This window comes from Homo sapiens, chromosome 13 (assembly GCF_000001405.40).
Source record: "Homo sapiens chromosome 13, GRCh38.p14 Primary Assembly".
In the NCBI taxonomy this organism is placed as follows: domain Eukaryota; kingdom Metazoa; phylum Chordata; class Mammalia; order Primates; family Hominidae; genus Homo; species Homo sapiens.
This window is the reverse complement of record NC_000013.11, coordinates 113,296,871-113,323,685: the sequence shown is the minus strand read 5'-3', so window position 1 is coordinate 113,323,685 and position 26,815 is coordinate 113,296,871. Positions and strand designations below refer to the sequence as shown.

The 26,815-nt window shown below is 50.9% G+C and overlaps 1 protein-coding gene across 3 annotated transcripts, besides 7 other annotated features; it reads right to left on the bottom strand.

The window, feature by feature from the left end:
- Window positions 1-13: 13 nt before the first annotated feature.
- LAMP1 (lysosomal associated membrane protein 1) lies at window positions 14-26,447 on the bottom strand. 3 transcript variants are annotated; one of them, NM_005561.4, is made up of 9 exons: window positions 26,191-26,447; window positions 17,080-17,201; window positions 13,824-14,043; window positions 12,819-12,977; window positions 4,030-4,217; window positions 3,216-3,341; window positions 2,216-2,282; window positions 1,959-2,129; window positions 14-1,404 (listed from the first exon to the last, which is right to left on the bottom strand). In NM_005561.4, the coding sequence occupies exons 1-9, from the start codon at window positions 26,249-26,251 to the stop codon at window positions 1,265-1,267; spliced, it is 1,254 nt and encodes a 417-aa protein (NP_005552.3). In that variant the 5' UTR covers window positions 26,252-26,447; the 3' UTR covers window positions 14-1,264. The 3 variants fall into 3 exon arrangements, with proteins under 3 accessions (NP_005552.3, XP_047286258.1, XP_011535796.1); XM_047430302.1 differs by lacking the exon at window positions 26,191-26,447 and adding an exon at window positions 25,949-26,047; XM_011537494.3 differs by lacking the exon at window positions 26,191-26,447 and adding an exon at window positions 17,884-18,052.
- Window positions 8,511-9,258: an enhancer, noted in NCBI's record as "H3K27ac-H3K4me1 hESC enhancer chr13:113968743-113969490 (GRCh37/hg19 assembly coordinates)". NCBI's record gives its function as "activates a minimal SCP1, AML or CMV promoter by ChIP-STARR-seq in naive H9 embryonic stem cells {active_cell/tissue: H9 hESC(naive)}" and the evidence as "EXISTENCE:reporter gene assay evidence [ECO:0000049][PMID:30033119]".
- Window positions 9,259-10,007: an enhancer, noted in NCBI's record as "H3K27ac-H3K4me1 hESC enhancer chr13:113967994-113968742 (GRCh37/hg19 assembly coordinates)". NCBI's record gives its function as "activates a minimal SCP1, AML or CMV promoter by ChIP-STARR-seq in naive and primed H9 embryonic stem cells {active_cell/tissue: H9 hESC(naive and primed)}" and the evidence as "EXISTENCE:reporter gene assay evidence [ECO:0000049][PMID:30033119]".
- Window positions 18,786-18,951: a silencer, noted in NCBI's record as "fragment chr13:113959050-113959215 (GRCh37/hg19 assembly coordinates)". NCBI's record gives its function as "represses an EF-1alpha promoter that drives an FKBP-Casp9 reporter gene in an ReSE screen in K562 erythroleukemia cells {active_cell/tissue: K562}" and the evidence as "EXISTENCE:reporter gene assay evidence [ECO:0000049][PMID:32094911]".
- Window positions 23,438-23,732: a silencer, noted in NCBI's record as "tiled region #10208; K562 Repressive non-DNase unmatched - State 23:Low". NCBI's record gives its function as "represses a minimal TATA promoter and a strong SV40 promoter by Sharpr-MPRA in K562 cells {active_cell/tissue: K562}" and the evidence as "EXISTENCE:reporter gene assay evidence [ECO:0000049][PMID:27701403]".
- Window positions 23,486-23,565: a silencer, noted in NCBI's record as "silent region_5544". NCBI's record gives its function as "represses an Ori minimal core promoter by ATAC-STARR-seq in GM12878 lymphoblastoid cells {active_cell/tissue: GM12878}" and the evidence as "EXISTENCE:reporter gene assay evidence [ECO:0000049][PMID:35858748]".
- Window positions 25,627-25,806: an enhancer, noted in NCBI's record as "active region_8037". NCBI's record gives its function as "activates an Ori minimal core promoter by ATAC-STARR-seq in GM12878 lymphoblastoid cells {active_cell/tissue: GM12878}" and the evidence as "EXISTENCE:reporter gene assay evidence [ECO:0000049][PMID:35858748]".
- Window positions 26,037-26,316: a silencer, noted in NCBI's record as "silent region_5543". NCBI's record gives its function as "represses an Ori minimal core promoter by ATAC-STARR-seq in GM12878 lymphoblastoid cells {active_cell/tissue: GM12878}" and the evidence as "EXISTENCE:reporter gene assay evidence [ECO:0000049][PMID:35858748]".
- Window positions 26,448-26,815: the final 368 nt, after the last annotated feature.

Genomic DNA, 26,815 nt, shown 5'->3' with positions numbered 1-26,815 from the left:
GTATTCCATGGTATCTGTATGAAAGGTAATTTTTTTAATGATTTAAAAATTATCATGTTACATGAATGAACCAGACAACTGTGCCAGGCACTCGGGCCACTCCCAACACCATTCCCTACGTCTGGCACCAAGACCACCCTCACCCCCCGTTTCCCTGACACCCTTCTCTCTGCACCGAGACCACCCTCAACCCCGTTTCCCTGACGTCCTTCTCTCATGAGCTCCCATTTTAGCTGACAGAAGGACAAGGCCCACCCCAAAAAGAAAGAGGCTTTTTATTACATTGTTACAGGCAATGCATTACGTGAGCTGGTCCCGTGTACAATCCCCAAGCCACGGCAAAACATCAGGAGAACGCACCGATCTCACATTGTACACAGCGCAGAACAGGATCACCCCGAATGTCAACAGAAGACCAAAAATCACTTTACAAATAAAAATAAAAATAACACCCATTTTTATATTTAAAAAAGTGCCAGCCCTTGAGCTGCAGACATTAGAGACGCCCAAGGACGTGCCGCCACTGGAACGAGGCCGCCAGCCACGTGTGGCCCGTCCTGGCCTTTAAAGCTGAACTGAAGCGCTCCAGACACTCATCTCTGGAGTTCCTCTGTCTTAGGATGTTCCCTCTCTACTGTTGTAATGTGTGAGCATGTCAGCCTCACCACGAGTGACCTTCATGCGTCCTACGTGTGACGGCCAGAGGCTTTCCCTTTGTAAGGCTTAAATCTGAGTGCAGTAAAGAATGAAGAAACCAAACACCAGAACCCTAAACTCAAATGATATGGAGCCAATTTAGAGCGGCACCCCCACCCCTCAGAGACAGCGGCATTCCACCCCTCGGAGAGAGCAGCACCCCCACCCCCTCAGAGAGAGCGGCACCCCCACCCCCTCAGAGAAAGCGGCACCCCCACCCCCTCAGAGAGAGCGGCACCCCCACCCCTCAGAGACAGCGGCACCCCCACCCCTCAGAGACAGCGGCACCCCCACCCCCTCAGAGAGAGCACCCCCACCCTCAAAATCCTACTTTGGTAAATATTAATGTTTAACCAGTTAGCAAAATATTTAACCCAGTTAGCAAAATTAACACCGTCATTTCGATAGTTACTCTGTTGTGCATAGTAAATGCTGCAAGATGAACTTCACATTGGATGAAGCAGATTTGAGAAACGTTTGCCAGAAAGTGTGCCTCCCCTTCGACAGGACCCTAAGCCCAGAGAAAGGAACAGAGGCCCCTGCAGCTGCTGTGCCTGCGTGCACCAGGCTAGATAGTCTGGTAGCCTGCGTGACTCCTCTTCCTGCCGACGAGGTAGGCGATGAGGACGATGAGGACCAGCCCCGCCAGGGCACCACCCACAGCGATGGGGATCAGCATGCTGTTCTCGTCCAGCAGACACTCCTCCACTGCCAAGACAGACGGATGGTGTCAGGGCTCTGCTCACACAGGGGCCTGCAAACAGGCCTCTCTCCCCACCACTCCCCCACATCAGCCAAAAGGCAAAGAGGAACCCTGGCGGAAGGTTCCAGCTCTAGCTGGAATTGTCACTTGGGGAAGCCGCTGCAGAGACTGGTGCTCTCTGCACGGCGAGGAAACCACACACGTCTCTCCCCCGTCTGGAATCAGGGGCTGTGGCCGGACAGCTGTGCTGCGTCCAGGGCCTCTGTGCACATCAGATGACAGTGTTGTATTCAACGTTCATGGGAGAAGCGCCACCACTGTTTCTTAAAATGATTCCCTTACTCTCAAATGGTACCAGGGGCTCCCAGCTGAGAGACACGCTGGGCCTCTCTAAAGCAGGGGGAGTTACCTCTAGAATCTCAGACCGGCAAGAAGAAACAGCTCCTTGCAGAGGAACAGGGGCGTCGCCCCAGCCCACACGGAAGCGACTAAACGTCCACAGGCGGAGTCTGAAGCACGTCCTCCACACCCCGCGACAGCTGCCCTCGGTGACACTCACCAGAGCCAAACTGGCCACCTTCCACCTTGAAAGCCTGGACCCACACTTTGAATATATTGACTGAAAACGCCTTCGTGACACGGACGTGCTCCTCCGCGTTGCACTTGTAGGAATTGCCGACTGTGGCCTGCAGCGCTCGCAGGGAGCCGTTGGCAGCTTTAAAGGCAGGGTCTGCAACACACACAGAGGTCTAGTGGCTCCAGAATACCCTGGGCGCGCGGGCGGGGGCGGGGCTCGCAGAGATTGTGGGTTCTCACCTCTGGCGTCAGGAAGAATTGTATTCAACTGGATTCCTTGTAGGAAAAACCGGCTAGAACTTGCATTCTTAAAAAGAAAAATGATCTTTAATCACGGAGCAGATTCATAGAAAGATGATCTTTAACCCCAGTAGATTCACACATTTATCATCAAACGTGAATGGTCATTGGGTAATAAACCTGACTTCCTACATTTCTAGTATTAGAACAAAACTGCAAAAGATCTTGTCTATAAAAGGCGTTGTGTATCTCTGGGGAATGAAAATTTTGGTTAGTTCCTTCCAGACCCTTCTCTGAGAGTCTTGCTCTGTCACCCAGGCTGGAGTGCAGTGGAGTGATCACGGCTCATCGCAACCTTAACTCCTGGGCTCAAGTGATCCTCCCACCTCAGCCTCCCAAGTAGCTGGGACCACAGGTGTGCGCCACTACGCCCAGCTAACTCGTTTTATTATTTGCAGAAATGGAGCCTCCCTGTGCTGCCCAGGCTGGTCCTTCCAGACCTCTTGAGAGTCAGTCTCTGGAAAACGGGGACTGCAGGAGCTATCACAGCACAGGAAAGCATGATTTGGAAAGCTAAAATTATAAGAAACTGAACTGTTAATTCATTTGCACAGCGATTTAAAAAGACTGACAAGTGACAATTATATGCTTCATGTCTTATGTTGCTAACTGCACAGGAGTCCTCCCAGGCAGAAATGCCACCACGGAACCACAGGGCAGCAGCATCTGAAGCCAGAAGGCCGCACGGCCTGCATGCCCTCCCCTGCAGCCACTCCAACTGTGGGCACAGCAGCCCCGCCCACATCATCTGCTGCATCTATGAATGGAATGGAAAGGGGGGAGGGGAACCAAGGAACTAAAAAGCCCAGGATAAAGGGAAGGCAGAAAAAAGTGAGGCCGCCTCCTTCCTAACGCTGCCTCCCATGAGCAGACCCAGGGCACAAAAAGATGTGGTGGAGACACAGTGGGCGCCCCCAGAGAGGTGCCGCCCCAGCCTCACCATCCCGAACTGGAAGAGCAGGACGGTGGTGCCCTCGCTGTGCAGCTCCAGAGTCACCAGGTGGGCGCCGCAGCTCCCGCTGGCCGAGGTCTTGTTGGGGTTGATGTTGAGAAGCCTTGTCACCGTCTGCATAAGACAAGCAAGCAAGTCACCACCCTAGCTCAGGTCCTCCACACTCTCGAAAAGACAAACAGTCCTGAAACCGTGAATTCAAGGCCACATTTGTTTTAACCAAAACCAGAAGGAAAACACTGAAAGACCACACTAGTACAGATTTCGGGATCCCAAGATGACTCTCCCTGACCCCGTGACAGCTGCTCTTGGAGTGCAGCGTCCCCGCGTGGAGGGCAACCAGCAGCACCACCTCCCCCTGCAGCAGTCAGCCCTGCAAACTCACCCCACGGCACGCAAGTCGACCCCCACAACCCCACAGCCTGTCACTACTAGGGGAGAAAAACTATTTCAAAAGAAAACTATAAAAATGTAACACTTAAATGTTTCCATGATAAATATGTAAAGAAAACTTAGGTTCTATCAGGGGCCAAGTTGTAGGCTCTGTGGGCCACACTGCCCAATAGGCCATGCTGGGACACCAGCCTTGGATGATGGAACCAGCAGGACGGCTGTGATCCTACAAAATGGACTCACTGACACAGACGCCAGCTCTTGTCCTCTAGGGTCACGTCCTGCAAGCTAAGCTCCCATCCTGACTTAACAGCATGACGTGCAGAGACGCGTGTTCTCAGTGCACAGGGAGCAGAGGCTCCAGCCCTACCGTGCCGTCCCCCTCTCCCAGGTGAGGCCCCAGCCCTACCGTGTTGTCCTTCCTCTCATAGGTGAGGTTCAGCTGCAGCCCCATGCTGGCCAGCAGGCAGGTCCCGTTGGTGCCGCTCACGTTGTACTTGTCCACAGAGGGGCTCTTGGGCACGGGTGAGGGCGAGGGGCTGGGTGGCGCAGGGGGCGCTGTGGTTGGGGAAGGCCTGTCTTGTTCACAGCGTGTCTCTGCAGGTGCAGTGGAGGGAGATTCAGGTCTGGGTTTCTCATAACCATCAGCAGTTACAGTAAGATCCAAACTCAGAAACAAAACTACATCTGTGGACTCTGGCGTCCTTGGTGACTATTTTCTCAGTCTCCCAAGGTGGCTCTCGCTAATGCCTTTCTAGACGCGCAGGAAAGAGCTGGGTCCTGCAGACGGCTCAGGGCGGTAGGCACAGGCCCGTGGGGCACCCTCAGCCTCCACCTCCCACTACCCAGGACGGTTCTGCCTGGGCAGCAGGCACCGCCCACCACACCCCAAGCCCCGTGGCTGGACAGGGGCCACTGTGCCACCCTCTTCCTAAAGTGAGGGTGAGAAAGCCTTGAACGCTGTCACGAAGGAGTGGACGCAGGAAGCTGTGCTGCGTGGCCGGCCACCTCACCCCATGGGAAATGGTGACGACTCAGACACTGCTCCCTGAGCTGTCGGGTGAGCGCCAGGATCGTGCTGGAAACACTACCCAGAGGGAAACAGAGGGTCTGCAGCACACACAGACCGGCCAGGTGGGACGCAGAGCAGCCAAGGAGGCCCTCTGGCAGGACAGGGGTCAGGCAGTCTCCATGAGGACCCCACGTGTGAGCAGAGACTCAAAGGCGGGCAAGGCTAGCCAGCTGTGTTGGGTCTTCATTTGGGGAGGGGGCTGTGGGGGATGGGCAAGCATCCTCACGAGGGAGAAGGCAGTGAGTGTGGGTGCGTCTGAAATCCCCAGACAAGAGGGCACAGTTCAGGGAATCCGTGGGGGTGGGGGGGCACATGGCACCCCTGGGGAATGCCCAGCAGTCTGAATGTGACTCTGTCCTTCAGCAATTCACCCACCAAGATGTTCACAACACAAATTTATATTCAAAGTCAAGACAGACTGAACCCTAGGTAGAGCTCTACCGAGTCTTCTGTGGCCAACACTCTCACTAACACACCATCAACCTTGAAATCAGGTTCTTTCTTTTACCACCTTGTTTCTGTGGATACTCAAGAATAATATTTATATAATTTCCACCCAATTCGATCCTTTCCACATCTCTGCTAGGCTGAGTCACCACGCGTGAGCCCCACATATCCAGGGTGGGCAACCCTGCAGGGAATCTGCCACTCATAACTCCATCAGTCACCTGCTGCTTCCGCTTCCATCTCAACATTCAGTGGCCAATTCCCACCTTCATATCCCATCTACTCAGGGCAGGAAAGAGACAGGCAACGTCGCCTATGACTGCACCCCAACGGGTTCTGAGACACACACAGGAGTGCCCCCGCACCCCGGTGTAAAAGCCCCTTCTGGACAGAGCACAAGATGGCAGAGAGGAGCTGCAGTAACCACACCAAACTCTGAAGTGAGAGGCACTGACGGCCACTGGGAGCCGTCCCAACCTGGGATGTGCTCAGGGACCCTTGCTCACTGCCCTTGGCGAAGCTGCAGGTTGACCAGTCCTTTCCAAAACAGCTTCACTTGCTGGGCGCAGTGGCTCATGCCTGTAATTCCAGGGCTTTGAGAGGCCAAGGAAGGAGGACTGCTTGAGCCCAGGAGTTCAAGGCCAGCCTGGGCAACATAGGGAGACCCCCATCTCCACAAAGTTTTTTTAAAAAATGAGCCAGGCATGGTGGCATGCGCCTTAGTCCTAGCTACTCAGAAGGCTGACTAGGGAGGGTCACTGGAGCCTGGGAGGCTGAGGCTGCAGTGAGCAGTTATTGTGCCACTGCACTCCAGCCTGGGAGACCCTGTCTCAAAAAAAAAAAAAAAAAAGCAGCTTCACGGTTCCTTTATAAAATGTTACAGACCAGGGTTAAACAGGCAAAAGTTAAATGTGCAAAACCGGCCAGTCTTGTCCAAATTCTAGTCTAGATGGCCACACGACGCACAGAAAAAGTGTAACCTACGCTGCTTTGACAATTGTTTTTCACCTGTGATCCATGTGGCACATTCATTTCCCACCCTGTTTCTGTAGAGTGGTCACAAGAAGCTGGAAACACAAATAAAACATCATCAGGTCTAACCACCAGTTTAAAAAACTGGAACTTGAGAAATAAGTGTGGATAAAATGCCCTCGTCCTTCTACCTGAATTACAAACGCAAACCCACACTCTCCTTCCCTGAATGCGTACTAAATACCAAAGTCTTTCCTGCTGAGGGCGGAGGACAGTGACGGAGAGCTCATCACGGAACGCACTGGAGAGTGCCCTGCGCTGCCCGGGGGGAGATGGTGGCACAGGAGCCTCTGGGGAGACCTGAGGGTCCACTGTCACACCTCCTCCAGCACCCTCCGGAGAGCAGCACACAGCCGGGCCTTTCCAAAGCTCATGTGCTCTGAAGGCCCCTCCTCCTCTCCCGGCAACAGCAGATACTCACATCAACCTGCAAGCTGCAATTCAGACCCTCAAGGGTGTCTGTGAGGATGAGATTGGTTTGCACCCAGGTTCCCGACTCATAGCTCCCACAGCCTCTCTTACAGTTTTTTGTGACAATGTTGGGTGTGTCAGGCCTCTGACCTTCTCCTGCCCCTTTCACCTGTCCTGAGGGACTCTCATCCTCTCCGCCTTTCTGATGGTAGTTCTTTTTTTTTTTTTTTGAGACAGAGTCTCAGTTGCTCTGCCACCCAGGCTAGAGTGCAGCGGCGCCATCTCAGCTCACTGCAACCTCCACCTCCAATGTTTTACCATCGATTCCTTCCATTTAAGCTAGGAGTCAGACTCTGTTCCTAGGAATGAAAAAAAAATGCTGCAGCTGGGCACGGTGGCTCACGCCTGTAATCCCAGCACTTTGGGAGGCCGAGGCGGGCGGATCACGAGGTCAGGAGATCAAGACCATCCTGGTTAACACGGTGAAACCCCGTCTCTACTAAAAATACAAAAATTAGCCAGGCGTGGTGGCGGGCGCCTACAGTCCCACCTACTTGGGAGGCTGAGGCAGAAGAATGGCGTGAACCCAGGAGGCGGAGCTTGCAGTGAGCAGAGATCACGCCACTGCACTCCAGCCTGGGGTGACAGAGCGGGACTCTGCCTCAAAAAAAAAAAAAAAAAATCATGCCAAATTGGGTGGGAGATGAGACACGGTGACCTTCATTTTCAACTCCTAACAGGAGTCAGGCAGTCCTCTGATTCATTCAACAAGCGTGCACCTATCAGACCCTGAGGATAAAAGACGAAGACACCCCACTCCTCCCGGTGAACTCATAAACCCAAAAGCCTGGCTGAGCCTCACTGTAGATCTGCTAACCCCATATGGGCCTGGGCTGGAAATCCGGTTTGGATGGATATCTGGCTGACTCCAGCCTCAGGCAGAGCTGCACTCAGACCCTCTGGAGTGACAGTCATCTGCCCTACTTTGTTTTTTTGTTTTTGAGATGGAATCTCACTCTGTCAGCTGGGCTGGAGTGCAGTAGCATGATCTCAGCTCACTGCAACCTCCACCTCTCGGGTTCAAGCAATTCTCCTGCCTCAGCCTCCTGAGTAGGGGGGACTACAGGCACCTGCCACCACGCCCGACTAATTTTTATATTTTTAGTAGAGACGGGTTTTCGCCATGTTGGCCAGGCTGGTCTCGAATTCCTGACCTGAGGTGATCCACCCACCTCGAGTTCCCAAAGTGCTGGGATTACAGGACTGAGCCACCGTGCCCAGCCACATGTGCCCTACTTTGAAGATACTCAGGAAGGAAGGTACAAAACCAACAGGAAAGTCCATTCAAAGGTGGCTTGTGCTTCATTTCCTTTTAAAATAAAATCTATGAGGTCCCCGAGCTTTTTTAGATAAGATGATGTATTGAAAGGCAAGATGGGCCGGGCACGGTGGCTCACACCTATAATCCCAGCACTTTGGGAGGTCAGGAGCTCAAGACCAGCCTGGCCAACATGGTGCAACGCCCCCCTCTACTAAAAATATAAAAATTAACCAGACGTGGTGATGTGCACCTGTAATCCCAGCTACTCAGGAGGCTGAGGGAGGAGAATCGCTTGAACCCGGGAGGCAGAGGTTGCAGTGAGCCGAGATGGCACCACCGCACTCCAGCCTGGGCAACAGAGCAAGACTCCCTCTCAAAAAAAAAAAAAAAAAAAAAAAAAGACAAGATACATGAGGCTTTCTGGTGAAGCGCCACCCAGGCAGGAAGCCCAGCCTCCAGGACGCCGCGCCCCAGGCACACCGGCATCTCCACGCTGGTTCCCTCCAGGAGGCCCCGCCCCAGGCACACTGGCATCTCCGCACTGGCTCCCTCCAGGAGGCCACGCCCCAGGCACACGGGCATCTCCACACTGACTCCCTCCGGGAGGCCACGCCCCAGGCACACGGGCATCTCCGCACTGACTCCCTCCAGGAGGCCACGCCCCAGGCACACCGACATCTCCACACTGGTTCCCTCTAGGAGGCCACACCCCAGACACACCGACATCTCCACACTGGTTCCCTCCAGGAGGCCACGCCCCAGGCACACGGGCATCTCCACACTGACTCCCTCAGGAGGCCACGCCCCAGGCACACTGGCATCTCCACACTGGTTCCCTCCAGGAGGCCATGCCCCAGGCACACGGGCATCTCCACACTGACTCCCTCTAGGAGGCCACGCCCCAGGCACACTGGCATCTCCACACTGGCTGCCTCCAGGAGGCCACGCCCCAGGCACATGGGCATCTCCACACTGACTCCCTCTAGGAGGCCACGCCCCAGGCACACCGACATCTCCACACTGGTTCCCTCCAGGAGGCCACGCCCCAGGCACACGGGCATCTCCACACTGACTCCCTCTAGGAGGCCACGCCCCAGGCACACCGACATCTCCACACTGGTTCCCTCCAGGAGGCCACGCCCCAGGCACACGGGCATCTCCACACTGACTCCCTCTAGGAGGCCACGCCCCAGGCACACCGACATCTCCACACTGGTTCCCTCCAGGAGGCCACGCCCCAGGCACACGGGCATCTCCACACTGACTCCCTCTAGGAGGCCACGCCCCAGGCACACTGGCATCTCCACACTGGTTCCCTCCAGGAGGCCACGCCCCAGGCACACGGGCATCTCCACACTGACTCCCTCTAGGAGGCCACGCCCCAGGCACATGGGCATCTCCACGCTGGTTCCCTCCAGGAGGCCCCGCCCCAGGCACACGGGCATCTCCGCACTGGCTCCCTCCAGGAGGCCACGCCCCAGGCACACCGACATCTCCACACTGACTCCCTCCGGGAGGCCACGCCCCAGGCACACCGACATCTCCGCACTGGTTCCCTCCAGGAGGCCACGCCCCAGGCACACGGGCATCTCCACACTGACTCCCTCTAGTAGGCCACGCCCCAGGCACACGGGCATCTCCACACTGACTCCCTCCGGGAGGCCACGCCCCAGGCACACGGGCATCTCCACACTGGTTCCCTCCAGGAGGCCACGCCCCAGGCACACGGGCATCTCCACACTGACTCCCTCTAGGAGGCCACGCCCCAGGCACACGGGCATCTCCACACTGGTTCCCTCCAGGAGGCCACGCCCCAGGCACACGGGCATCTCCACACTGACTCCCTCTAGGAGGCCACGCCCCAGGCACACCGGCATCTCCACGCTGGTTCCCTCCAGGAGGCCATGCCCCAGGCACACGGGCATCTCCACACTGACTCCCTCCAGGAGGCCACGCCCCAGGCACACTGACATCTCCACACTGGTTCCCTCCAGGAGGCCATGCCCCAGGCACACGGGCATCTCCACACTGACTCCCTCCAGGAGGCCACACCCCAGGCACACTGACATCTCCACACTGGTTCCCTCCAGGAGGCCATGCCCCAGGCACACGGGCATCTCCACACTGACTCCCTCCAGGAGGCCACACCCCAGGCACACCGACATCTCCACACTGGTTCCCTCCAGGAGGCCACGCCCCAGGCACACCGGCATCTCCACACTGACTCCCTCTAGGAGGCCACGCCCCAGGCACACTGGCATCTCCACACTGGCTGCCTCCAGGAGGGGCAAGTGGCCAGGGCTGGGCTGTCGGGCCTTTTTCCATTTGGAATCACATGCGTGTTCTCCATTAAAAAAGGAACCAACGTCCAGGATCTGGACACAGAGGAAGGCTGTACATGCGCAGCGGCAGAGAATACACAGAAACCTAAGACTGCTCTAAAAAATAGTCTATCTTAAAAGTAATTATTAACCTGAAGAAACAGGTTTCTCAAAAGAACCTAGCAAGCTTCTCTGGACCTGTGAAGCCTTATTTTTCATCTAGAGAATCCTGCCACCCGTCTCAGGGCACTCAACATCCTTGCTGACCTCCACCTAGCAGCCCTTCACTTCCAGGCAGGAGTGAGTGAGCGGTCATGCCATGCGCACCCCTCGGTCACAGAGCGACATGGGGAGGAGACACGTTCTGCAACCGTGTCCAGGCCTAGCCAGTAGGGAGTCCCCGGACAAGGTCAGCATCCAATTCTCTCTCATTTCCCAAGCTCTGACAGAGAGTGCGTGCCCTTCCTTTTCCTCTTCAAGCCACATTGATGCAGCCCAGAGGTAGCCAGCTAGGTGTGGAGCCCAGATAATTTGGAAATCGATAACCGTGAACACTAGTCACCCCCATGTGTTACGCTAACTCCCACTTGGTAGGGAGCACTGCCCCTAGCTGAAGTTATCTTTAGCTCTGGCTGAGGTGTGTCTGAGAGCATGAACACACCTAGACAGGCTGCCAGGCGTCCGTCCTCAGACACACGCGGCCCATGTGAGAGGACTCTAGCCCGCTCTTCCTGATGAAGCAGACACGACTCCAGGCTCCGTGTGAACAGAGGCTGCACCAGGAAAGCGGCTGTCACCACGGCCCCCGGGGCCCTGTGTTGAGGATTAAAGGCAGCAGCACCTACAGAGGACCCAGCTCCTAAGTGTGTTTCCTTCCAAGCCTCCCCTATGGGAGCCCACGTGGCCCCATCAAGTCCCAGTCACACCCGGGGTTTCCAAGTTGGGCTCCTTTTCACCCACTCACCAGGGAAGGCAAAGTCTGCCGCAAAGCTACAGACAGTAAATATTTCAGACTTTGTGGGCCGTGGCTCTCTGTCAAGACAACACAGCCCTGCCACTGTTAATACAAAAGCAGCCACAGATAATGTGTAAATAAATGAGTGTGGCTGTGTTCCAAGAAAATTTAACTTATGGACACTGAATTTTACATAATCTTTATGTGTCAAGAAATATTCGTTTTCTGATTTTTGGTATGTTACATTTATAAATCGAAAAGCCGTTCTTAGCTCATGGGCTGTATGGAAATTGGAGGTGGGCAAGACCGGCCCAGCACCATGGGGTGCCGACCTGCAAGAGTACCTGCTCCTCGGGGAGGAGTGAGACGGACGATCCTCCTGTGGAGCCCAGCAGTCACTCCTCAGCCTTTAAGCAAGACTGCTGAGGAATGTTGCAAACCAAAGGTCTCCACAGTAGCTCTCAAGATTAGAGAAGGCTGTGATGTCTCCATATATTTCTAGCAGCCAGGAAAGCCCACCCTAAGGGATGTCTCCATACATATTTCTATCAGCCGGGAAAGCTCACCCTAAGGCAAATCACAGGCCCTCACGCTTCAGCAAAATGACAACAACCTATGACCTGGACTGTGAGGCTCGGGAGAGAAGCTCCTCAAAAGTAACAGGATTTACCAGGTGCTTGCTACTTAACTCTGTGCCAGATGCTGAGATACACATTTTGCATACATTTCTCTTTTAATTCCAACAACCTTTGAAGACAGGCTTTTAATCTCATGCCACATGCAAAGAAAATGAGAGGTAAACTACCCTGCTCAAGATCACAGGGCTAGGAGGTGGCCTGGACCCTGCCTGACCCCAGAGCCCGGCGGCTGGGTTAGCAGGTACATCATCGCAGCCCTGACCTCCTCAGAGAGGCAGCGTTGGTCTTTCTGCACCTGTCCCTAAGCTGGCCGGCCAGAGCTGGATGGAGATAAGACTATGTCTCTGTGTGAAGGCAACTGGCTCAAACTGCAAGAGATCTGTGACCCTGGTCCCATCATCTCTGCCCCAGTAGAAGCACAAAGGTTTCAACTGCTTTGCCCTTCTGACATTTTCAAGTAATAATTGTATACGTTTACCATGTGTGTCAGGATGTTTTGAAATACACCTACATGTGTGACAGCTAAAATCAAACACTTACTTTTTTATGGTGAGAAGAGTTAAAATCTACTTAGCAATATTCAAGCCAGAATACATTATTAACTGCAGTCACATGCTGTACTAATTCCTCCTGTCTTCCGGAAACGCTCTATCTTCTGACCAACTTAACCCCAGCCCCTGGTGATCACCTCTCTCTCTACCCGCCCCCCGCCGACTCCCACTGCTTTAGCTCCCACGGGAGACCACACAACATCTGTCTCTGTCCCGGGATATTTCACTTCAATATTCCACCCTTTTTAATCAACATGTGTCTACCCTCATCTACAAGTCACCTGCCCTAGGAAGAAGGATGAGAACGTTCTGCAGAGACGTCGCCGGCTGTGTGCACACGCGTTCCAGGCAGAGCCCAGCACCAGGACACAGAGCAGTGAGGTCACCCGCAGCCACTGCAGCCCAGCTACCCAACCACTAGCACCAGAGGGCCAAGGGTCAGCGTCCTACCTCCCCGGCTGAAGCTGCTGTTGGAAAGGTACGCCTGGATGGTGGCATCATGGAGCGTTACGGTCACGTTGTTCATGTGGACCTGGGTGCCACTAACACATCTGTATTTTTTATCTATATCTGCCCTGATGTCAGTTATAGATTCCACAGTCTTGATTTCTAGATTAAAAAAAAAAAAAATCACAATTGCAAACTACTTGCAGTACTTAGTTTATGTGTTTTTTATTTTAGCCCTGATGTCAGTTATAGATTCCAGTCTTGATTTCTAGATTAAAAAAAAAAAATCACAATTGCAAACTACTTATAGTACTTAGTTTACTTTATGTGTTTTTTATTTTTTTTGAGACAGAGTCTCGCCCTGTCGCCCAAGCTGGAGCACAGTGGCGTGATCTCGGCTCACTGCAACCTCCGCCTTCTGGGTTCAGGCGATTCTCTTGCCTCAACCTCCTGAGTAGCTGGGACTACAGGCGCGCGCCACCACGCCCAGCTAATTTTTGTATTTTTAGTAGAGAGGGGGTTTCACCATGTTGATCAGGCTGGTCTCGAACTCCTGACCTCATGATCTGCCCGCCTCGGCCTCCCAAAGTGCTGGGATTACAGGCGTGAGCCACCGCGCCTGGCTGTGTGTTTTTTATTTTTTAGAGACAGTCTCACTTGGTCGCCTAGGCTGGAGTGCAGTGGCACCATCTCGGCTCACTGCAACCTCTGCCTCCTGGGTTCAAGCGATTCTCCTGCCTCAGCCTCCCGAGTAGCTGGGATTACAGGTGCCCGCCACCACACCTGGCTAATTTTAGTATTTTTAGTAGAGACAGTGTTTCGCAATGTTGGCCAGGCTGGTCTCAAACTCCTGACCTCAAGTGATCTGTCTGCCTTAGCCTCCCAAAGTGCTAGGATTACAGGTGTGAGCCACCACACCCAGCCTGTACTTCTTAGGTAAAAGTAACTTTAGACAATCCTCCAACCCAATTTTCTATCACTTCATAATCGGCCCATTTTGGTTCTTACCTTTGGAGCTCGCATTGGGGAAAAGGTGTGTGTCTGACAAGTTATAAACAAAACTCATGAGCTGGACGCTGTAACGTGTTGCATTTCTCGTGAAATTGAGAGTGAGTGTATGTCCTCTTCCAAAAGCAATCACGAGACTGGGGTCAGAAGTGTTCTCTTTTCCACAGGAGCTGCGGTTGAGCACCACTGTGGCATCTGATGGCAGGTCAAAGGTCATGTTCTAGAATAAACACAATTAAATGTAACCCAATTGGGATGCAGGTTATTAAAAGTTCAAAGAAAGAGATTTTCTGTAAGTCTGATATAAACTTATACTTCATTTCCAACTAAGATATCACTACTGAGGTACTCATTTTTAATATAAACCAAAAAAAGGTTAGTATTACATGTCAGTAAAAGACTGAAAAGTATTTCAGGTGTAAGAGAAAGTTGGCTTAATAATTCATATAATCAAAAATTTGCAGCTGGGCATGGTGGCTCACACCTGTAATGCTAACACTCTGGGAGGCTGAGGTGGGGGGATTGCTTGAGCCCAGGAGTTCAAGACCAGCCTGGGCAACATAGCAAGACCCCATCTCTACAAAAACAAAATAAACTAATCAGACATGGTGGTGTCTGCCTGTCGTCCCAGCTACTCAGGAGGCTGAGGCAGGAGGATTGCTTGAGCCTAGGTTTGAGGCTGCAGTGAACTACGACTGCACCACTGCACTCCAGCCTGGGCAACAGAGCAAGACTCTGTCTCCAAACAAAACAAAACAACCCCATAAATTCATTTTATGTTAATATAATTTATAACAGAATTTAAAGCGTCTTGAAATTGAAACAATTCACACCAGCTTCAGGGTGAGATATATATTTGAGAAAAGCTATCACTACTTTTTTACTATAGAAATGTTCATTTAAATAATGTTTCTTTAAACAAAGAAGGTGTTTATAGCAGAAATGTTTAAATTTACTACTATAAGCAAAACGAGCAACTGGAAAACCACTTAATGTTCATCAAAGTAAACTAGATAGGTCAAATGAACTACAGTGAAGCAGTATACTAACGTGGGCCAAAAAACAACACGAAACTACACAAGGTGATAAAGACATGTTCTGTGAAATAACAAAGTGCATAACAGCATATAGGTGACCTCACTTGTGAAACATAATTTATAATAGAATATTTAAAAAATCCAACCACCAAAACCAAACATTAAAAAAGTGATGTAGAAATTAAATAAAAAGTGCTTGGAGACCAGGTACGCTGGGCCACGCCTGTAATCCCAGCACTTGGGGAGGCCGACGTGGGAAGATCACCTGAGGTCAGGAGTTTGAGACCAGCCTGACCAACATGGAGAATCCCTGTCTCTACTAAAAATACAAAAATTAGCTGGGCGCATGCCTGTAATCCTAGCTACTTGGGAGGCTGAGGCAGAAGAATTGCTTGAACCCAAGAGGCAGAGGTTGCAGTGAGCCAAGAACGCGCCATTGTACTCCAGCCTGGGTGACAAGAGCAAAACTCTGCCTCAAAAAAAAAAAAAAAAAAAAAAAAAGTGCTTGGAGGCCAGGTACGGTAGCTCACACCTGTAATCCCAGCACTTTGGGAGGCCAAGGTGGGCAGATCACTTGAGGCCAGTAGTTTAAGACCAGCCTGGCCAACATAGCAAAACCCCGTCTCTACTAAAAATACAAATAATTAGCTGGCCATGGTGGCATGCACCTGATGTCCCACCTACTGAGGAGGCTGAGGCACGAGACTCACTCAAACCTGGGAGGTGGAAGACACAGTGAGCCGAGATCTTGGCACTGTACTCCAGCCACCTGGGGGACAGAGTGCAACTCTGTCTCAGAAAAAAGAAAAAAGGCTTTGACAAGTATTTATAATTTGAGACTGGATTTTTTTTTTTTTTTTTTTTTTTTGGAGATGGTCTCGCTCTGTCACCCAGGCTGGAGTGCAGTGGCAAGATCATAGCTCACTGCAGCCTCGACCTCACAGGCTCAAGCAATCCTCCCACCTCAGCCTCCCAAGTAGCTGGGACCACAGGCACACTCCACCATGTCTGGCTTTTTTTTTTTTTTTTAAAAAAGAGATAAGATCTTACTATGTCTTGGATTTTTAAAATATTTTGTTATTCCAAAAGGCTTTAGTCATCCCAAAGAAACACAAAGCCATTTCAACAAAACCACTAAGGAACATTTTAATCAAACTAGTACAGTGTTTGCATTGCATGTCAACCAACCATTTATATACATTTCTTGCAGTATAACTCTCTAAATCAAAAAAGCCACATTCACAGAGCATGAAAAAGATTCAAGACAACTTACCAATTACTAATAGGGGAGTGTGTAACAAATTATGGTGAATTAACATAATAAAGTATTACATTATGATTATAAAAGACAATCACGAAGAAAACTAGAGCTGGGAGGGGTGGCTCACCCCTGTAATTCCAACACTTTGGGAGGCCAAGGCAGGCAGATCACTTGAGGTCAGGAGTTTGAGACCACCCTGGCCAACATGGTGAAACCCCGTCTCTACCAAAAATACAAAAATCAGCCAGGCGTGGTGGTGGGCACCTGTAGTCCCAGCTACTCAGGAGGCTAAGGCAGGAGAACTGCTTGAACCCAGGAGACGGAGGTTGTGGCGAGCTCAGATCGTACCACTGCACTCCAGCCTGGGCGACAAACCAAGATTCCATCTCAAAAAAAAAAAAGAAAACTAGAAAAATGTTGATGATAGGCTGGGCGCGGTGGCTCACACCTGTAATCCCAGCACTTTGGGAGGCCAAGGCGGGTGGATCACGAGGTCAGGAGACTGAGACCATCAAGGCTAACACAGTGAAACCCCATCTCTACTAAAAATACAAAATATTAGCTGTGCGTGGTGGCGAGCGCCTGTAGCCCCAGCTACTGGGGAGGCTGAGGCAGGAGAATGGCATGAACCCAGGAGGCGGAGCTTGCAGTGAGCAGAGATCGCGCCACTGCACTCCAGCCTGGGTGACAGAGCGAGACTCCGTCTCAAAAAAAAAAAAAAAAAAAAAAAGGAAAATGTTCATGATGAACAGTGAGGTGCAGCACATATACAGGTTTGTTACTGTGCCTGTGGCTATGGCACATGACAGCGCAGGTTACTGACAACACCAGAAGGAGATATGCAGATAGGAAAAGCACCATGTTCAGATGGGGCCATTTTTCAAAGACTTGGTTGAAATGTTAAAAATCATCTTTCCACACACACAAGGGAAGCATGAAGTGCCCTGGTGTTTCCTACCTTAGGGCCACTCTTGGTGTCGTAGTTCACTGAGAAGGCAGCAGAGAAGTTGGCCATTATGCACGCGGTCCCGTTGCCATTTTTCACCATAAACATTGCTGCTGACGCACAATGCATGAGGCCTGTCAATTCCAGGGAAGACGGAGACCATCAAAAACTGTCCAGAAAATACGACCGAGTATTTCCATTTTCCACAGCTGTAGCAGTGATGGCTTTTATTACAAGATTCCACTGTTTCTCTTTTTTTTTTTTTGAGACGGAGTCTCACTGTCGCCAGGCTGGGGTGCAGTGGCGTGATCTCAGCTCACTGCAACCTCCACCTCCCAGGTTCAAGCAATTCTCCTGCCTCAGCCTCCCAAGTAGCTGGAACTGCAGGCACGTGCCACCAAACCCAGCTAATTTCTGTTTTTAGTAGCGACGGGGTTTTGCCACTTTGGCCAGGCTGGTCTTGAACTCCTGACCTCAGGTGATCCACCCACCTTGGCCTCCCAAGGTGCTGGGATTATAGGTGTCAGCCACTGCACCCAGCCTCCACTGTGTTTCTTAAATTCAATGAACAACCAGACACATGGATTACGCAGCCAGTTCACCTGGTGCCCTGTCCCTTTCGGATACTATTCTGGAATTGTTATCTCTAAGCCCATCTGATTGAGTTTGCCAACCTAGTCTATTGCTATTTAGTGCTTTATTCCAGAACACTTATCAGGAAGGCACATGTCAATTTCTGCATCATCCTAGGCATACGCTGTTCCGCCTTTCTCAGAGGATCTCTGTAAGACGTGGTGCCTTGAAGGCACAACTCACCCATCTGCAGAAATCCATGGGAGAGGCTGCAGGATCTTTCACTGTGGTCCTCACCTGCTACTTAACGTCTGGTCAGTTTTATTTCTCATGGACTCAAAGTGCTGAGCTCTTTGCCCAATTTCAGAAAGGTCCTCACAGCACTACACATCGGTGGAGTGGCTTCCCTTCCCCATCCTGAAGCAAAGGGACAGAATGGAAGCTCTATAGGTCTTTCCAGCTGGACAGTGGTCACTGCTAAATATTTCCTCTCTGACTTACTCATACTCCACTTCCCTGATCAAGATGTTTGGCAACAAATGTAATCTGATCACTACGGTAGAGACACTGGTAATTGTACAAATTGCACGTTATTACACAGTTCTTTCATTACAGATTGGAAAACAGGTGTTTCTGCCTGTTCTAACGCCAAACACCTATCTGCCACCACTGGAATCCGTGCAGAAATGACATGCTTTCACTTGTCTCTGCCACTACAAGTTCGTGCATGCCAGTCCAGTGAGCACTCACCACCCAGGGGCTGATCTCACACTGCGTGAGCACAGCCTTCCAACCACACACACACCCGAGTCTCATCTGTCACTCTAAGTGTAAATGCAACTCAGGCACACTGTGAGGGCAGATATTGAAAGAGAGGATGCTTAGCTTTTCATTTAAAATCCTATTCCCTGGAAAAGTAATGGATTCCAATGAATCCGACTCATTTCAACCTTGGGTCTTTCACAAAATAAAATCTTTACAGCAACTGTTCTTCAAGCCTAAAGCGAAGCATATAACCAGAAGTAGTCCCACCTATCTTCCCTTTGGTAAAGGAAATACCAAAATCTATGTCCATAAAGAAAAGGTGCTGCCGGGCACAGTGGCTCACGCCTGTAATCCCAGCACTTTGGTGGGAAGCTGAGGCAGGTGGATCATGAAGTCAGGAGTTCAAGACCAGCCTACCCAACATGGTGAAACCTCGTCTCTACTAAAAATACAAAAATTATCTGGGCATGGTGGCAGGCGCCTGTAATCCCAGGTACTAGGGAGGCTGAGGCAGGAGAATCACTTGAACCAGGGAGGCCGAGGTTGCAGTGAGTCGAGATTGCACCACTGCCCTCCAGCCTGGGTGACAAGAGCAAAACTCTGTCTCAAAAAAAAAAAAAGAAAAAGAAAAGGTGCTACACGACAATGAAACAAAGTAGGGCGTGCAAGGAAACCTCCAATCTACTGTCTGCTTTGCTTGGTTTTTCAAGCCACACTCTGCAACACTGAGGCAGGATCATACTAACGGCATTTCCAATGAATCTAGAGAATCTAGGGAAGATTCTACCACTTATTTTTGACATAGTAAAGGTTTCTAAAAACAGACAAAATATTCTCACTCTTGTGAAAGATCAGATGAGTGTACAGAAGCTACAGCAGACGCCAGCAAGGCAGAAGCAGCGGACAGGCAGACACAGCAGACGCCAGAGACTTAACACTTGACTGGAGCTCAGCGTGGACAGGGAGACTGCCCACCCCGCCCTCAGGTGAGGAGTCACAGGGCCCACAGTCACCACTGACAACCCGGATGCCCACATGGGAGCAGCCATAGGCTGGCTTTTATTAAGCTGCCCTTTTATAAGTTTCCTCAAACACTTTTCACTGACCCGAAGCACTTCATTAGGAAATATTTCAAACTAAGTCATTTTTCAATTATACAATTTTTTTTTCACTTAGTAAATATGCTGAGGGTTTCAGCTTTTTTATTTTTATTTTTTAGAGACTGAGTCTCACTCTTGCCCAGGCTGGAGTGCAGTAGCCCTCCACCTCCCAGGTTCAAGCGATTCTCGTGCCTCAGCCTCCTGAGTAGCTGGGACTACAGGTTTGTACCACCATGTCTGGCTACTTTTTGTATTTTTAGTAGAGACGGGGTAGACAGGGTTTTGCCATGTTGGCCAGGCTGGTCTCCAACTCCTCGCCTCAAGTGATCCACCTGCCTCAGCCTCACAAAGTGCTGGGATTATGGGTGTAAGCCACCATGCCCAGCCAGGTCTCAGCTTTCAGAGGAAAACAAAGAAATATCATTTAAATAAATTTAAAGTAAGCTTTGGCAGCACAAGATGCCTGTATTACTCTGGAGAGACCCAGGAATTTTGAGTTATTAAAATAAACTTACCCTCAGAAGGCAATTTTGGTATAGAAGAAAATAAGAGCATCAGCACACAGAGCTTGAGGAGGAAATGTATGTATGCTATAAGGGTCAGAAGTTTTTTTAAAAACCTCCACAACAGTGGCAACTGGGTAGCAAAAAAAAAAAAAGACAAAAAACCTCAAGTAAGTTACAATGTTTCCAGTAACCTGACAGGTGTCACAGCCCAACAGGACAGCCGTTGGCAGCATCTCCAAGGTGGGCACCCTGGCCTACTGGTGACTGCTATCTCCGGCAGTCCTGTACTCAGACACGAACAGGACCACTTCTCCAGGGATCACATAAAGGAGTAACTGTGGCTTCAAAATACCCCCACTTGGGAGAAATTCTGTTCTCTGAAACAAGTGCCGCTGTGGGAAGCATGCGTGCTTCTGAGTCACAGCCCTCAGTTCTTGGAGGTTCTTGCAGCACTTACTAGCTGTGCAACCATGGCCAGTAGCAGAGCCCAATCCCCAGTCTCTGCACCCACGAGCAGGAGGAGAGAGTGCCAAGGCCTCAGGGCTGTCGGAGCAGCTGAGCATTTGGTGCCCGGCACTGACGCCAGCTTTGATGTCAGCTGTTATTAAACATCTGCACAGGTACAGAGGGTTCCCATCAAGTTCATCATTCAATCCTCAGTATCTGACACAAAACATCAAAAACTATCTCATTTAACAAGCACTTGGAATGCACTTACTTTGTGCCAGGTGCTGCTCTAAGCACATCCCAGTTATCATGACAACTCTTCATAGGGAGATTAAGGCATAGAGAGGTCAACTAACCCACCCAGGTCACACAGCTAGTGAGTGGCGGAGACCTAGATCTAGAAGGGGTCTTCTGACTCACAGGACGTGCCACTTCTGAGCCACGCTGCCTCTCCAGCACTTGATGACTGAGGGAACGGGCTTCCAATGAGGAAACACTGGCTGGGTGCAGTGGCTCATGCCTGTAATCTCAGCACTTTGGGAGGCTGAGGAAGCGGAGGACTGCTTGAGGTTAGGAGTTCCAGACCAGGCTGGTCAACACAGCAAGACCTTGTCTCTTAAAAAAAAAATTTAATTTTTTTGAATTAAAATAAATAAAAATTAAGAAATACTCGCTTTTGACATTAAAGATTACCATCTGAAGAAATGAGTAAAAAACTTCATTTTAAAAAATTAGGCCGGGCACAGCCCGTAATCCCAGCCTGTAATCCCAGCACTTTGGGAGGCTGAGGCAGGCGGATCACCTGAGGTCAGGAGTTTGAGACTAGCCTAGCTAGCATGGTGAAACCCCGTCTCTACTAAAAAATATATACAAAAATTAGACGGGCATGGTGGCGCATGCCTGTAGTCTCAGCTACTCGGGAGGCTGAGGCAGAAGAATCACTTGAACCCGGGAGGTGGAGGTTGCAGTGAGCTGAGATCGTGCCACTGCACTCCAGACTGGACAACATAAAGAGACTGTCTCAAAAAAAGAAGAAAAAACAATTTATTAAGAAATTACATCTTAGGCTGGGTGTGGTGGCTACCGCCTGTAATCCCAGCACTTTGGGAGGCCGAGGTGGGCAGATCACCTGAGGTTAGGCGTTTGAGACCAGCCTGACCAAACATGGAGAAACCCTGTCACCACTAAAAATACAAAATTAGCCGGGCATGGTGGCGCATGCCTGTAATCCCTGGTACTCGGGAGGCTGAGGCAGGAGAATGGCGTGAACCTGGGAGGCGGAGCTTGCAGTGAGCCGAGATCGCACCACTGCACTCCAGCCTGGGCGACAGAGCGAGACTCCGTCTCAAAAAAAAAAAAAAAAAAAAAAGAAATCACATCTTAGTTTTTCTTGGCTTGATTCTTTTAAATATGGTATTTTTATTCTACTTAACCAATGATGCACAATCATTTATGAAGAACTAAAGGAAAAAAATACCATCCCAGGCACTGAATCACAACCTCTAGAGGCAAGGTATAAGTGTGTGTGTGTGTAAATATATATATATATATATATATATATATATATATATATATATATATATTTTTTTTTTTTTTTTTTAAATGGAAACAGAGTCTCACTCTGTCACCCAGGCTGGAGTCCAGTAGCATGATCTTCGCTCACTGCAACCTCCGCCTCCCGGGCTCAAGCAATTCTCCTACCTCAGCCTTCCAAGTAGCTATGACTACAGGGGTACGCCACCATGCCCGACTAATTTTTTTTGTATTTTAGTAGAGATGGGATTTCACCATATTGCCCAGGCTGGTCTCGAACTCCTGAGCTCAGGCAATCCACCCACCTCGGCCTCCCAAAGTGTTAGGATTACACGTGACAGCCACCGTGCCCGGCCGTATATTTCTTTTTAATTTTTTTTGTAGAGACACTGGTCTCGCCATGTTGCCCAGGCTGATCTCAAGCAATCCTCCTGCCTTAGCCTCAAAGCACTGAGATGACAGGCATGAGCCACTGTGCCTCGCTGTGGTATGTATATTTCTAAAAAGCTGATCGTGTGGATCCGTGCATATGTTTGGTTGAGAGCCACTGCTATAAAATTGATCCTTTCTTCATATATGTACTCAGCACTTACTACCTGTCAGTTAAGGAAGGGAGATACACAGGCAAAAATAATCCCAGTGCAGCCGAACAGATGTTACCATGTAGAAGCACATGCAATAAAAGTCTTGGGTACAGAGAAGAAAGGGTAACGTTGTCTGGGATGGGGCTAATGCAATACAAATTCAAAATTACAGGGCTACAAAGACATTCTGACCTCAAATCTGCTGACAAATTCATTCTTTCCACCGCATAACTGACAATCTGCACAATCAAAGGTAACATCGGTTAGTAGAAAAAAAATTTTTTTCTTTGTTTTTTTGAGATGGAGTCTCGCTCTGTTGCCCTGAAGAGCAGTGGCACGATCTCGGCTCACTGCAACCTCCACCTTCCGGGTTCAAGCAGTTCTCCTGCCTCAGCCTCCTGAGTAACTGGGACTACAGGCCTGTGCCACTACGCCTGGCTAACTTTTTAAAAATATTTTTAAAAAGAATAGAGATGGAGTTTCACCATGTTGTGGCCAGGATGGTCTCGATCTCTTGACCTAGTGATCGGCCTGCCTCAGCCTCCCAAAGTGCTGGGATTACAGGCATGAGCCACCACACCCAGCTTTTCTTTCTTTTCTTTTTCTTTTTTTTTTTTTTTTTTTGACATTGAGTTTCGATTTTGTTGCCCAGGCTGGAGTGCAATGGCACGATCTCAGCTCCCTGCAACCCCTGCCTCCCAGGTTCAAGCAATTCTCCTGCCTCAGCCTCCCACGTAGCTGGAATTACAGGCGCCTGCCACCACACCACGCCTGGCTAATTTTTGTATTCTTAGTAGAGACGGGGTTTCACCACATTGGCCAGGCTGGTCTCAAACCCCTGACTTCAGCTGATCCGCCCACCTGGGCCTCCCAAAGTGCTGAGATTACAGGCGTGAACCACTGCACCCAGCCGAGTATAAAATTGTTCAAACCTCCTAAGTGACAGTTGTTCAAGTGGAAAGGGTAAGGCGGTCATCCTGCTGACATCAATGGTTTAAAGGGTCACATTACGCAATCACAGCTAATCCTATCTATCAGGACAAGTTTCAGTTCATGTTTGAGCTTTCTAAGTATTCAAACACAGTAGCTTTAAACAATGCCTAATTATTAATATAGTGGAAATTTGTAATTGAGCAGTTTCTTTTTTTAAGAAAAAAGGATTTTTGGTGAAATCGCACATTAAAATAAACATTTTAAATATCTTTAAATGCAAGTTGTTAAAAGGCCTTTTTTAAAAGTTGGATTTTGGCTAGGCACGGTGGCTCATGGCTGTAATCCCAGCACTTTGGGAGTCTGAGGCAGGTGGATCACGAGGTCAGTTCGAGACCAGCCTGGCCAGCATGGTGAAACCCCATCTCTACTAAAACTACAAAAATTAGCCAGGCATGGTGGCGCGCACCTGTAGTCCCAGCTACTAGGGAGGCTGAGGCAGGAGAACTGCTTGAACACAAGAGGCGGAGGCTGCAGTGAACGGAGATCACGCCACTGCACTCCAGCCTGGGTGACAGAGTGAGACTCTGCCTCAAAAAAAAAAAAAAAAAATTCTTGGGCCAAGTACGGTGGCTCAAACCCGTACTCCCAGCACTTTGGGAGGCAGAGGGAGGCGGATCACGAGGTCGGGAGATCGAGACCAGTCTAACCAACATAGTTAAACCTAGTCTCTACCAAAAATACATAAATTAGCCTAGCATAGTGGCGGGTGCCTGTAATCCCAGCTACTCAGGAAGCTGAGGCAGAAGAATTGCTCGAACCCAGGAGGCAGAAGTTGTAGTGAGCCGAGGTTGTGCCACTGCACTCCAGCCTGGGCACAGAGCAACTCCGCCTCAAAAAAAAAAAGTTAAGATTGTAAACATAAAAGATATAATGGAACAGATCTTAGAAGACTGATTACACAAGCAATATTCCAATCACAATATTAGGGAGTTATGGATTTTTTCTCTTCATTTTTAAAGTTAATTTTTTTTTTGTTTTGAGACGGAGTCTCCCTCAGTTGCCCAGGCTGGAGTGCAGTGGCTTGATCTCAGCTCACTGCAACCTCTGCTTCCCGGGTTCAAGCAATTCTTCTGCCTCAGCCTACCAAGTAGCTGGGATTACAGGCGTGCGCCACCATGCCCAGCTAATTTTTGTATTTTTGTAGAGACCGGGTTTCGCCATATTGGCCAGGCTGGTCTCGAACTCCTGACGCCATGATCCATCTGCCTCGGCCACCCAAAGTGTTGGGATTAAAGGCGTGAGCCACTGCTCCCGGCCTGAAGTGAGTTTTTAAAACATGAAACAAAACATCAAAGTTATGAGGCTTGTGAGCATCTGTAACAAAGAACAATGCAGTTGCTGTGACATGACAAAACTTGTTTCTGCAACTCCTTTCATTAACTACACCTGACCCTGTCGCAGGAGCTGAGCAAGGCTTCAGGCTTACTATTGGAATAAGTTCATCTCTGTGGCTATTCAGGCAGTTCAAAGAATTCATTTTACACAACAGGCAAAACAAAAAAGGGAAGCCAAGATCCATTCACTCACAGTAACAGAGTTTTACAGCTGGATGGGACTGAGGGATTTAAAGAAGTCAAGGCAGATGTGTACAGGAGTGTATTTCTATATCTACTTAACTCACACACACTCCCCCAGCTTGATTCTACATCACCTTTCAGATCCTGGCATTTAAGATAATCTTCTCATATTACGGGGGAGGGCGGCGGGGGGAGGAGGTGAAAGAATAGTGTTGGCGGGGGGCAATCCGGACTGTCTTAAAGAGACAGCACACATCCTCTTATTAAGACAATAAATGAGAACGAAATTCACTAGTCAATACAATATTGAGCACCTACTGCCCATCTGAGCTCTATAAACTGACAGAAGAGAAGGGTGCTTCCCCACGTGTTCCCTGGTCCCGCATTTCGGCCTACAGGAACGGCGCTCTTTAAACTACTTACTAGACATGAACATTGCCACCGTGAGTCTGAGGCCAGCTTTCCCTCATCTTGTCTACTACGGAATCTTGTGAAATCCCAAAGATAACTTTAAAAATTATTTTAACATACATGTGAATTCACAATAACATAAATACACTCGCATCTCCTCCACACCGCTGAAAGAGGAGAAAGGTTCAAGTACAAAGGTGGGGAATGCTCGCACCGGCTTCTCCCTGTCCTGGGTGAAATCCATGTTGGGAAGAGCTTGATCTAGGTCACCCACCCGGGAGCTGAGACCACAGACGTCCCTGCCACCTTCGGCGGCGCAGCCTCGTCTAGATCTCACCGCCTCAACTTGCCAGGAAACTTAACGACCTGAAAGCACCAGACCGCCGAGCAAGCCATCGGAAGTTCCCTTTCGCACTCACCACCACAGAAAAACTGAGTTCAGTGAGACAGACCTTAGAGGAGCCAGGTCCTGGGATGAGACCTCCTGGTCCCCCAAGCACCTGCCATTGAGCTCCGCTCCGACCCTACGACCCCGAGAGAAACACCCGCCCGCGGGCAGAGCCGGCCGGGACCAGGAGCAGTGGGTGCGGGGCGACCCGCGGGACAACGACCCGGCAGTCCCCCGCCCTCAAGACCCAGGGACCTCGGCTCCGCCCGGTCCCGCCGCTCCCAGGCCCCGCCTCGACCCCCTCACCGAGCAGCAGCAACAGCAGTAGCAGCAGCAGGGGTCGCCGGGCGCTGCCGGGGGCCGCCATGGCGCGAGGCGGCCGGGTACGGTGCGGGGAGCGGGGGCGCGGGCGGCGGTTGGGCCGCGGACTGCCGGGCGCTGCGGTGGCGGGGCGCGGGCGCCAAGGGCTGGCGTTAGAGACAGCGGCGTTACCAGACGCAAGAGGCCCGGCCACTGCGACGCCGGCACGAAGAAGACACCGCGGCCGGCAGCGCTTGTCACGTGAGCTGCGCCGCGCCCGGGCGTCACGTGATCCCGCGGGTCTCGCGAGAGCGCGCGCGTCGAGCGCCGGCGGCTCGGCTCCCCGCAGGTGCGGCAGCTTCCAGCACCGCGCGCCCCCTCACGCGTGATGCAGGCCGACACGTGACCCGCAGCGGCACGTGACCCGCAGCGGCACGTGACCCTGGACCCACGTGACCCGGCCTGGTCCGGGGGACTGGGGCCGAGCCGAGGTCCTGAAACGGGAAGTGGGCTGGGTTCGCGGAAAAGGAAGAGGAAGAGTAGTGGCGGGAGAAAGTGAGGAAAGAGGAAGCCCGCGAGGGGAGAAAGGGCAGACGGATCGCGGACGCCCAGGCCTCCCTTCAGCCTGCGA